The sequence below is a fragment of the Homo sapiens genome, chromosome 1, assembly GCF_000001405.40.
Source record: "Homo sapiens chromosome 1, GRCh38.p14 Primary Assembly".
Lineage (NCBI taxonomy): Eukaryota > Metazoa > Chordata > Mammalia > Primates > Hominidae > Homo > Homo sapiens.
Genome location: NC_000001.11, coordinates 180,399,524 through 180,412,625, shown reverse-complemented (window position 1 = coordinate 180,412,625; position 13,102 = coordinate 180,399,524). Strand labels below are relative to the sequence as shown.

Sequence of the window (13,102 nt, the reverse complement as noted above, 5' to 3'; positions counted from 1 at the left end):
CCAAAGTTTTGGGATTATAGGCATGAGCCACTGTGCCTTGTGTATTACTTCTTAATTTATTTGTGTTGTGAATAATACCATTCACATACTGAGTTTTAACTGACCCTGAATTATAGCTGTTAAAAGAGCAAAATTTGCTAACTCACTTCTAATCATTTTCTCATTCTTTGGTGATGCTGTGAAAGATTACTGAAATGGCCAAAGGTAGTAATTGTTAGGAAGAAAGCATTAAATGATCATAGATAATCTGTAGAATAGATAATAATCAACTTATATGTAATTCAGAGCTCCCTATACAAAAGGTTAGCCCTTAATATTATCTCACCTTTAGGCAACATCTTTCCTGTGATAATATTGTCAATGGTGTCTGGAATTGAAAATGTAAGACTATGATACTGCACAAAGGGACTAGTAATACTATGTGTTTTTCACTAAGTAGTGAAACAAAATAATACCAGGTCTTCTGATTCTAATTAGGTTTGTGGTTTTTTGTATTTTGGGTTTTTTTTTTTTTTTGCCTTTCAGAATCAAAATACAGGCATACCTCTGAAATATTGCAGATTCAGTTCCAGACCACTGCAATAAAGTGACTATCGCAATAAAGCGAGTCACATGAAATTTTTGGTTTCCCAGTGCACATAAAAGTTGTGTTTACTGGCCAGACGCGGTGGCTCACGCCTGTAATCCCAGCACTTTGGGAGGCCGAGGTGGGCAGATCACGAGGCCAGGAGCTTGAGACCAGCCTGGCCAACATAGTGAGATCCCATCTCTACTAAAAATACAAAAAAAAATTAGCCAGGCGTGGTGGTGGGTGCCTGTAATCCCAGCTACTCGGGGGAGGCTGCAGTAGGAGAAACGCTTGAACCTGGGAGGCAGAGGTTGCAGTGAGCCTAGATCGCGCCATGGCACTCCAGCCTGGGCAACAGAGCGAGACTCCATCTCAAAAAACAAACAAACAAAAAAGTTGTGTTTACACTGTACTGTAGTTTATTAAGTGTAGAGTAGCATTATGTCTTTAACAAAGTACATACCTTAATTTAAAATACTTTATTACTAAAAAATTCTGACAATCATCAGACTTGGCTTCAGCAAGTCATAATCTTCTTGCGGTAAAAGGTCTTGCCTCAGTGTTGATGGCTGCTGACCGATCACAGTGGTAGTCACTGAAGGTTGGGGTGGCTGTGGCAATGTCTTAAGTCAACAGTGAAGATAGCTACATTGATTGAGTCTTCCTTCGTAAAAGATTACTCTGTACATGCAATGCTGTTTGATAGCATTATACCCACAGTGGAACTTCTTTCAAAATTGTAGTCAATCCTTTCAAACCCTGCCACTGCTTTATCAACTGAGTTTATGTTGTACTTTAAAATTTTTGTTGTTATTTCAACAATGTTCACAACATCTTCGCCGGAGTAGATTCTGTCTTAAGAAACCACTTTGTTTGCTTATCCATAAGAAGCTACTCCTCATCTGTTCAAGTTTTATCATGAAATTGTAGCAATTCCATCACATCTTCAGGTTCCACTTCTAATTTTAGTTCTCTTGCAGTTACATCTGCAAGTAACTTTTCCACTGAAGTCTTGAATCCTTATCTGTGTCATCCATGAAGGTTGGAATCAACTTCTTCCAGACTCCTGTTAATGTTTATATTTTGACCTCCTCCCATCACACATGTTCTTAATGGCATCTGGAATGGTGAATCCTTTCCAGAAGGTTTTCAGTTTGCCCAGATCTATCAGAGCAATCATTGTCTATGGCAGCTATAGCCTTATAGAATGTATTTCTTTAATAATAAAAGTTGGAAGTCAAAATTATTCCTTGATCCATGGACTGCAAAATGAATGTTGTGTTAGCAAACAAGAAAACAACATTAATTTCCTTATACATTTCCATGAGCACTCTTGGATGACCAAGCACATTGTCAATGAGCAGTAATATTTTGAAAGGAATGTTTTTTTTTTTCCTGAGCAGTGGGTATCAACAGTAGGCTTAAAATATTCAGTAAACCATTTTGTAAAGTAAACAGATATACTGTCATCTAGGCTTTGTTTTCCCATTTCAAAAGCACAGGCAGAATAGATTAAGCATACTTTTTAAGGGCCCTAGGATTTTCAGAATGGTAAATGAGCATTGGTTTCAGCTTAAAGTCAATGGCTGCATTAGCCCCTAACAAGAGTGTCAGTCTATCTTTTGAAGCTTTGAGGCCAGGTATTGACTTCTCTCCAGCCATGAAAGTCCTGGACGGCATCTTCTTTCAATAGTAGGAGTAGTCTATTTTCTCTACATTGAGGATCGTTGTTGAGTGTAGTCACCTTTATCGGTTACTTTAACTAGGTCTTCTGGATGACTTGCTGCAGCTTCTGCATCAGCACTTGGTGCTTCACCTTGTACTTTTATGTTATGGAGATGGCCTCTTTCCTTTAACCACATGAACCAGCCTTTGCTAGCTTCAGACTTTTCTTCTGCAGCCCCCTTACCTTTCTCAACCTTCATAGACTTGAAGAGAACTAGGGCTTTGCCCTGGATCAGGCTTTGGCATAAGGGAATGTTGTGGCTGGTTGAATCCAGACCACTCACTTTTTCCATATCAGCAATAAGGCTTTTTTACTTTTCTATCATTTGTATGCTCACTGAAATAGCACTTTTAATTTCCTCAAGAATTTTTCTCTGACATTCACAAATTGGCAGTTTGGCACAAGAGGCCTAGCTTTTGGCCTGTGTTGGTTTTCAGTATGCCTTCCTCACTAAGCTTAATCATTTCTGGCATTTGATTGAAGGTGAGAGACGGTGCAGCCCTTTTCCTTTCATTTGATACTAGGTTTTACTTGAAACTTAGAGACTATTGTATTACTGGCTAATAATTTCAATATTTTTGTGTCTGAGTGAATAGGGAAGCCTGAAGAGAGGGGGAGAGACCAGGAACAGCCAGTCAGTGGAGCAGTCAGAACACACAAAGTATCTGTTGGTTAAATTTGCCATCTTTCTCAGTGTGGTTTGTAGCACTCCAAAACAATTACAATAGTAACATCAGAGATCACTGATCATTACCCTAACAGATATAATAATAATGAAAAACTTTGAAGTATTGCAAGAATTACCTCAGTGTGACACAGACATGAAGTGAGCACATCTTGTTGGAAAAATGGCACCAATAGTTGGCTTAACTCAGGGTTGCTACAAATCTTCAATTTACAAAAAACACAGTATTTGCAAAGTGCAATGAAGCATAGTGCAATAGAACAAGGTATGCCTGTATAGCTTTCTTTTTTAAATAAATTTGGCATGATTGCTTCCCTTGATTTTTTAAATTGTAGTTTTTTATCTTTGTGCTTGTGAGTTAAAATTTTTATAAAGTTAATACATTTGTTTTTTTAAAAAATCAAATGTTACTATTAGTCTTATAAACAAAAAAATTCTCTCTTACCTGCATCCTTCTTACATTTTATTCTAGCTCCTTTAAGGCAAAAATTTTCTCTTTTTTTTAGACAGATTCTCAGGCTGGAGTGCAGTGGCATGATCAGGGCTCACTGTAGCCTCTGCCTCCTGGGCTCAAGCGATCCTCCCACCTCAGCCCCCAGGTAGCTAGGACCACAGGTGTGCACTACCATGCCTGGCTAATTTTTGTATTTTTAGTAGAGATGGGGTTTCACCATGTTGGCCAGGCTGGTCTCGAACTCCTGAGCTTTAGTAATCAGCCTGCCTCAGCCTCCCAAAGTGTTAGGGTTACAGATGTGAGCCACTGCACCCGGCCAGACTTCCAGTTCTTTTAATGTGTCTTTAGCACCTTACCTACATAATTCTAAATAATATACTTCTATTTCTTGATTTTTCAACTTTAGACATTATTGATTTGTTTCTGTGTTATATTTAGATTTAACTGTTTTACTCATCTTCCCTCTCTCTCTCTGACCCTCCTAACGTAATTATATCACAACTTTTTTATTTTATTTTATTATTATTATACTTTAAGTTTTAGGGTACATGTGCACAATGTGCAGGTTAGTTACATATGTATACATGTGCCATGCTGGTGTGCTGCTCCCATTAACTCATCATTTAGCATTAGGTATATCTCCTAATGCTATCTGTCCCCCTCCCCTCACCCCACAACAGTCCCCAGAGTGTGATGTTCCCCTTCCTATGTCCATGTGTTCTCATTGTTCAATTCCCACCTATGAGTGAGAACATGCAGTGTTTGATTTTTTGTCTTTGCGATAGTTTACTGAGAATGATGATTTCCAATTTCATCCATGTCCCTACAAAGGACATGAACTCATCATTTTTTATGGCTGCATAGTATTCCATGGTGTATATGATATCACAACTTTTAATTTCAGCTTTCTGATTGAATCTCTGTTGAATCAATATTAATATTATTATGACTATGTAAATACTCATTGCTAAGCTGTGGATTGTACTTGTGTGTATCAGTCAGCTTTTGCTGTGGCACAACCCCCAAATTTCAGTTGCTTACAGCAACAAACATTTGTTTTTTTGCTTATATCACTGTCTCATGAGATGAGTGACACCATCTCATTTATATATTCTGATAATGCTCTTACTTGATTTCTTTATGTTTATCTGATATTTCAAAAGGGTTTTGGATCAGTTGAGACAGTCTGTATATTTTATCTACTTTTATTATTAATAGTATGAGTGAAGGATGATGATAATATAACAAATCAATAAGTAGGCCACTTAACTTTTCAAAGTCACAGTTTTTTCACTGGAAGTATCTTGTGTGTACTATATGGTGCCTGTTAATATTTATCTTTCAAATAACACATAATACTTTATACAATGCATGTGATAGTTTACAGAGTACTTTCACTTATTACTATATTATCTCTACAACAGTTCTCTAAGGCAGATATTGTCCTTGTTTTACAGACAGGAACTGAAGTTCAGAGACCTACATTTACTTGCTCAAATCCATATAACTGCTAAGTAGAAACCAGGTCTGGGAGAGTATTCTTCCTACCACTAGATTTTAGAAGGATAAATAAAAAGAAGAAAAAGAAGGATAAGCAGTTGTCATTTGGCCTTCCCTGTGTTATGCTCTGGTTTGCAGCAATTTCTTTTATAAAATATTACTGGAAGTCAAATCCACATGTGACCTCCACAAAGATCACTGGATGGACAACAGTGATAGGGGTGGAATAAGTGCCTAGAACACAGATAGCTTACACTAAATAACACATATTTTGTGTGTGTAAAGACAAGGAAAACTTGGCAAAATGTATTGTTTCTGCCATTTTGTTACTTTGATGTAGTGCTGCTTTCCAGATCTTCCAGTTTGTTAACCATGCAGCTACCTTTACCCTCAGCCTGCCAGAACGTTGTATTTCATGAACAGATGAAGTGCTTACACATTCATAGACTGAGACGCCAAGAATTCAGTTGGGTTCTCTCATTGCTCCAAGCAGATTTCTGCCCTCTCAGCCATGACAATTCAGGCTGAGCTTTGAATACTGATGGCAAACCCTTTTATTATTAATCAGGGATTTGTATGAATTAATTTAAGAACATAAGGGAGGTGGGAGCTTAAAATCAAAATCAAACTTAACATCCCAAAATAAAATAAATAGTATTGCTTCATCACATTTAAAGCTCTAGCAAATAAAACAATTTGGTAAGCTTTGATGATGGACTAAAAGTGTGTAGCCTCAAAATTAAACTTCTAGTTAAATACTTTTAACCCTTTCTGTCCTTTTGACGTTTTCTTATTATGAGTTGGGTAACAATTATAGTTTTGAAAGGACATTCAGTTCTTTTTTGTATTTATCTGATATTTGAAATTGAGATATTTCCCTACTGATTCCCTAAGATTCTCTGGGATAATATACGTTTTTACTTAAAATCTTAATTCAGCAGGTTCAACCTAATTTTATGACTAAAAGTCATGTTTATTGCACTTAAAATTTGCTGTGAGCACATAAAGAAATTTAATTATAATAATAAAGTAAGCTACATTTGTATTCCCACACATTGAAATAAATACATTATTCACTGATAGCTATGAATCTATAATTTATAAATTATTATTTGAAATACATACATTTGGATCTAAGTATTGTATATGAACAAATATATATGAAATGCCTTTTAAATAAAATGTATTTGTATTTCATAATGAAGTTATTTTATTGTACATAAGTATAATTCCTAGTGTACATCTTTTATTCATTTAAGTTGTAATTACTACAGGTTGGATATTCCTCATCTGAAAATCCAAAATCTGGAATGATCCAAAATCTGAAACTTTTTAGCAACAGTGTGACACTCCAAGGAAATGTTCTTTGGAGCACTTTGGATTTCAGACTTTTGGATTAAGGAGGGGCCATCAATAAGTATATAATGTAAATATTTTTTTTAATCTAAAATTTTAAACACTTCTGGTCCCCAGCATTTGGGATAAGGGATACTCAACCTATGCTAATATAGTAAGGCATATATTTCTAATTTGAGAAAATTACCTGGTATTTCCTACTGGTATAGTAATTGGACATTGTCTGTATTTTGCATAATAGAAAAAAGTTTCGTAGTTATGCTTAGATGTTTTAGGGTCCAAGTTTGTAACACCATGGTGTCATATGTACTTTTTTAAAAAATTAAATTACAACTTTTATTGTGTTTTCAGTCATTTGAGAAATGCTTGAAAATTGAATTCAAAATATGAAGGGAAAAGTTAAAGAGAAGATCTTAAAGCCTACTTATTTTTTTAAATGGCGGTTCAATTTTTATCCTTGACCCACATTAGTACAGCTCTTCACACATACCAAATATTTATGATTCTTCCAAGAAAATATTTTTTAAGGGGCAGGGATGATTTCAATAATTTGTGAAGTGTATTTAAAGTATGGGGAGAGTATTTGCTATCAAACATCAGGCTCAAATTATGTTTACATAATTCTTGTCACACGTTATTTCTCAGATTAGTGTACTATACAATCAACACTAAATACATGCTTATTGATAGTATTTAAATAGTATTTTAAATCTTTGAAGTAATTTAAATGTTTTAGATCAAATGTAACAGTGTAATATTTTAGCAAAATAGATGACCATCCAGTGCACCTGTTTATCATCAGTCCCCCCAAAAGCATTCATACATAGTTCATTGGTTTTCCATAGATTCTTATCTAATGCACTCCCAAATTCCACTTTCACTGGGCTGCTTCTTTAGTTACATTCTTTCCTTTTCTGTCCTTTTGACAGTATAATTGTTGTCATTAGCCATTTTCCGTAGTCTATTGATTCTTTCAGATACTTTGAAGAAAGTCACCTTTCTCTTGACTACCATTCGTTTCCTTTTCTACTTTGTTTTAAATCTGTGGCTCCTAACAATACAATTTGCATGCTTTTGGCTTGAGAAACTGCTGCAAACTCTGGTGAAACTGTGACAGTACTAAGTAACAGAAAAGCAAAAGATTTAAGAGGCAGGGTCGGTATACTGAGACTAAATTTATGCAGTTATATGAGATTTGAGAAAGGAAGGAAGAAAAAATGCATCCTCTTAAATCACTTTCTATATCAGGGTATATATTATTTTGGTTATATAGTTGATTAAGATGTTAATTTGAAGGAACTTTATTCACACTAATGACTGAGAAATGCGTTACAAATTGTCTATTACGCTTATTTGCATTCATGTAGGCAGTGCCATTTAAAAATCAAGTCTATGGTCATGTGTTGCATCAGAAACTTAGATTTAATACAAAATCAGAAAATAGTGAAAGTAGCTTAAATCCTATGAGCTTTGGCAACTTATTTTGGGTATTTTTTAATTGTGGTAAAATATACATAAAATGTATCATTTTAATCATTTTTAAATCTACAGTTCTCTGTCATTAAATATGCTCACATGAGGCCAGGTGCTGTGGCTCACGCTTGTCATCCTAGCACTTTGGGAGGCCAAGGCAGGTGGATCACCTGAGGTCAGGAGTTCAAAACCAGCCTGGCCAACATAGTGAAACCCCATCTCTACTAAAAATACAAAAATTAGCTGAGCATGGTGGCACATGCCTGTAGTCCCAGCTGCTTGGGAGGCTGAGGCAAGAGAATCACTTGAACCCAGGAGGCAGAGGTTGCAATGAGCTGAGATCGTGCCACTGGACTCCAGCCTGGGCGACAAAGTGAGACTCTGTCTCAAAAATACACATATGTATATATATATTTTTTTCACATGAGCCAAGTGTAGTGGCTCATGCTTTCAGGCACAAGGAATTCTTGAGCGCAGGAGTTTAAGACTAGGCTGAGCAACATAGTGAGATCCCGTCTCGTGATAAAAAATGAATAAATAAAACAATACATTCACATGTGTAACCACCACCACCATACAACTTTTTTATCTTCCCCAATTGAAACTCTGTACCAAGCCAGGTGTGGTAGCTGATGCCTTAATCTCAGCACTTTGGGAGGCTGAGGTGGGCAGATCACCTGAGGTCAGGAGTTTGAGACCAGCTTGGCCAACATGGTGAAACCCCGTTTCTACTGAAAATACAAAAATTAGTCAGGCGTGGTGCTGCACTTCTGTAATCCCAGCTACTCGGGAGACTGAGGCAGGAGAATCTCTTGAACCCAGGAGGTGGAGGTTGCAGTGAGCTGAGATCGCACCACTGCACTCCAGCCTGGGTGACAGAGTGAGACTTTGTCTCAAAAAAAAAAGAAACTCTGTACCCATTAAACACCCCCCATTCCTCCCTTCCCCTGGCCCCTGGCAACTACCATTCTATTTTCTGTCTCTGAATTTGACTACTCCAGGTACTTCATTTAAGTGGAGTCATAACAATATTTGTCCCTTTTGACTGGCTTATTTCACTCAGTGTAACGTCTTCAAGGTTCGTTCATGTTGTAGCATGTGTCAGTTTCCTTGCTTTGTAAGATGAATAATATTCCATTGTATGCATATACCACATTTTGTTTATTCAGATATCCATTGATGGACACCTTGGTTTGCTCTTACCTTTTGACTGTTGTGAATTATGCTCTGAACATAGGTGTACAAATTTTTGTTTGATTTTTTTTCCCCAAGAATCTATTATGAAAAATGTTAAACATACAGAGAAGTTGAATTTTACAATGAACATCCGTATTTCTACCATCTCGATTCTACCATTAATATTTTACTATGCTTGCTTTATCAATATCTAGACATTCATCAAATCTTTTTTATTTTTTGATACATTTTGGAGTACACAGACAACAGTACACTTTCTTCTAAATATTTTAACATGCGTATAACTAACTAGAATTCAGTATTTGGTTTTTCTTTTAAAATAATATTTATATACAATGAAATGCACAAGTCTTAAGTACACATTTGATGAACTTTGACAAATACATATACCTGTGTAACTGAAGTGCCTATCAAGATATAGAACATTGCTGTCGCCCCAGAAAGTTTCCTCATGCCCCTTCCCAGCCACTGTTTTCTTTTAATCCCAAAAAGGTAACCACCGTTTTGATATTATTCTACCATAGATAAGTTCTGCTTGTTCTCGAACTTTATATATATGGGATTATACATATGTACTCCTCTGTGTAGGGCATCTTTCATTCAGCATAATGTTTTTGAGACTCATCCATATTGCTATAGTTCAGTACTTCCTTCTTTTATACTGCTGAATATGTTCCATCATGTGAATATACCATTGTCTTATGATGGATACCTGGGCTGTTTTCATGGCAACTTCCTATTATTATTGCTGTTAATTACCTCCTTTATACAGGATGAAATAATACCTCCCTTTCATATTCCTTCACCCTTAAGTCACTGACATTATAGCTTAGTAATTTCTTGTGAAGGGATTTTTTTTTTTTTCTTTTGAGACAGAGTGTCACTGTGTTGCGTAGGCTGGAGTACAGTGACGTCGATCACGGCTCACTGCAGCCATGACTTCATGGGCTTAAGTGATTCTCCTGTTGAGCCGAGCCTCCTGAGTAGCTGGGACTACAGAAGTGTGCCACCATGTCCAGCTAATTTTTGTAGAGATGGGGTTTCACCATGTTCCCCAGGCTGGTCTCATACTTGCCCGCTTTGGCCTTCCAAAATACTGGGACTATGGGCATGAGCCACCGCACCCAGCCAGATTTTTTAAAGTAGTGTATTCAAAATCTTTCTCAATTTCCTGACAAATAAGCAACACCATTTTCCCCTACCCTAGATCTTTGCCAGTGAAAGAGATCAAGATCCAGTAGTTGCTGATTTTAAGTGTGTATCACACATACTGGTGTGTGATTTTCTTTATAATGCTCGTAAGTAAATTATCCCACAAGCAGTCATTGGCTTCCATGCTAGGTATAATCTTGAGATGTTAGACTATCTTTCAATCTTATTCCTAAGTGCTTGAAATAACATTGTCATTTCACTATGGACAGGGAAGTGAAAGAAGGAGGCATTGTGTAATTTCTGGTGATTGCAGGTAGGGGAGTTCTCACTATGGCCAGCTGCTACAGTAGTAGCAGCAAAAGGTAGAAGATAGTACAGAGGAGATGGGGACATTACAGGTTGTTGGTAGTTGAAGTCAAGCTCTACTACAATTATAAATTGATACCCAATTTTTTTGCAGAGAGAAATTCAGATCTACCTGTTTGCAGTATTTCATTTGCTAATTAGACAGTACCATACCATATACTATATGTGTTTGATAGAATGACAGGACAACTCTTACAAATTTAAATATACCAAATTTGCCATGTTTTTATCTGTTATACGTATGGTATATGTACTTTGTATTTGATCTCAAAATATCATAAGAACATCAAGACTCATTTTATAATAGAATCTCCTTCCTTCCCTCCTCTCCCCTCCCCTTACCATTTTTTTTTTTTTTTTCTGGACAGAATTTTGCTCTGTTGCCCATGCTGGAGTACAGTGGCACGATCTCATCTCACTGCAACCTCCACCTCCCAGGTTCAGGCGATTCTCCTGCCTTCACCCTCCCAAGTAGCTGGGATTACAGGCACGCGCACCACCACACCCCACTAATTTTTTGTATTTCTAGTAGAGACAGCATTTCACCATGTTGGCCAGGCTTGTTGCGAACTCCTCACCTCAGGTGATCTTCCCTCCTCGGACTCCCAAAGTGCTGGGATTACAGATGTAAGCCACCGCGCCTGGCCAGAATCTCTTCTCTTTTTTTTAATTTTGTGATATTGAGGAGAAAAGTCTAATTAAAAAAAAATTCTACATGGTTTATGGACGAGTTACTAAGGAAATCAGAGAAGCATTTCATATATTAAGATGTGCTCTCTGTATTTTCCAGAAGGTATGAAAGTAATACCACTTAATAGGTTAGCTGCTACCCTGCACTTTCAAAGCACTTTAGAGTCATTCATCTGTCTGAGGTAGGACAGTGTTAGCACCCTTGGTTAATAGATGAGAACTCTTTTTCTCCCTGCATCTTACTGTATTTGAGTTTCAGAATTTATTCAGGGCTCTCCAGTGTTCGTGGTCTTCTGGTGGCCTAACAAAGGTTCCTTTTAATAATGGCTCTCCCTCACCAATCTCCTGAATACTTCTGGGATATTTTTCCAGAAGAGTTTTAAAAATTAGAAACAAAGAATTGTCACTTATTTTGGTAGCAATAAAAATAAATTTAACTTGAAAATTTATAAGAGATTATATCACTCATGGAAAAAGATAAAACAATTATATAGACAAATATGTAAAATAGTTCATAAATTTAGATAAAGTCTTAGAAGATATAGCTTTAATGCACACCTAAGTCATGGTTTTCCTTCTGGAGGAGAGATTTTGGAATTCTTTACCTAAAATAGTTTAATAATTGTAGTGGTCTAGGTGTGTTTGTGGTTAACAAAGAGAAAGGAAAGAAACCACAGGTGTTTATTTCCTGATTTTATCATGATTAATTATAAGGATAGCATCTCTGCAAATTACTGGTTATGTTAGTGAGTGAATAATAATCTTAAATTAGAGCATGTTTATAGGAATTTTATAATTTGAAGAAGTAAAAGGTATCACAGACACCTCATTTTGCTGGTTTTTGTTCATTTAAATATAGAGCATCTTGAAGGTTAAAATTCCAAAGCCTGATTTGTTTTGTCTGTGTTTATTTACAAGTATGTTTAATCCTACTCTTGTTTTTGAGCTTTTTAATACTGCATGGAATATTAATCATTAGGTGGTCTTAATGTAGATATCTTCAGTGCTTCTACAGAAAGTCATTGTCAGAGAATTCATTCTAATTCAAGGTTAATTAGTGTACCATTAAAATAATGTGTTACAAGAATTAATTGCATTGCAGGTCAGAAAATGTGTTAAAAAGTATGGTGTAAATGTCTGAGAGCACATCATCCTTCTTAAAACATTGCTATACATGTGCCCCGCTTCTGGAAAATATATCCAAAGTGAAAATCACTATGGAGGTCCAGTCATAGGTGTTTCCCCTAAAGTAAATTTTTGGCATCACATGGAAAATTTAAAATATGGGAAATTTAAAATATAACTCCCATTAACAGTAAAATGTGTTGCTTGTCAGCTTTACCATTGAAACAGCTAAGGATTTACATTTTAGCTTTAGTTGATATAACCCTATTGGGTCAAACCTAAGGAAAATTCAGGAACGTGGCTGAGAGATAGAAATTATCTATACATCTTATGGTAAAAGTACAAGACATATTATGTTGTCCTACTTAACTATTACATAGTTTTTGTAAGTACCCTATGTAAATATATCACACATCGTCTTAACTATGTATAACTCTTGTCAATAGTTTAACCTAATAGCCATAAAATGCACACTTACAATTAGAACTAAAAATGATAGACTTTGAAATTTTGTCTGATTCTTTTAATGTATTAATAAATGCTGTGAAACAATAACATGGACCTGTAGAATATTTTATTCATTAGTATTTATTCAGAGTCTCATTAAAATATCTAATTGTTCATATGGAGGATTTCTGAATTAGAGCCCTAGTAACAGCAGGTCACATTAGAGCTACAAAAATTTTAACATAGGAAACTGCTCTAGAACTCAACAATACATTTTCACCTGGACTTTTAGAATTGTCTCCACTGAAAAATAACTTCTGGCTGGGCGTGGTGGCTCACGCCTGTAATCCCAGCACTTTGGGA

General features: G+C 36.1%; 1 protein-coding gene across 7 annotated transcripts in view; it reads left to right on the top strand.

The window, feature by feature from the left end:
* Positions 1–13,102, top strand: part of ACBD6 (acyl-CoA binding domain containing 6) — a 232,925-nt gene that overhangs the window by 89,952 nt on the left and 129,871 nt on the right. The window lies entirely within an intron of this gene.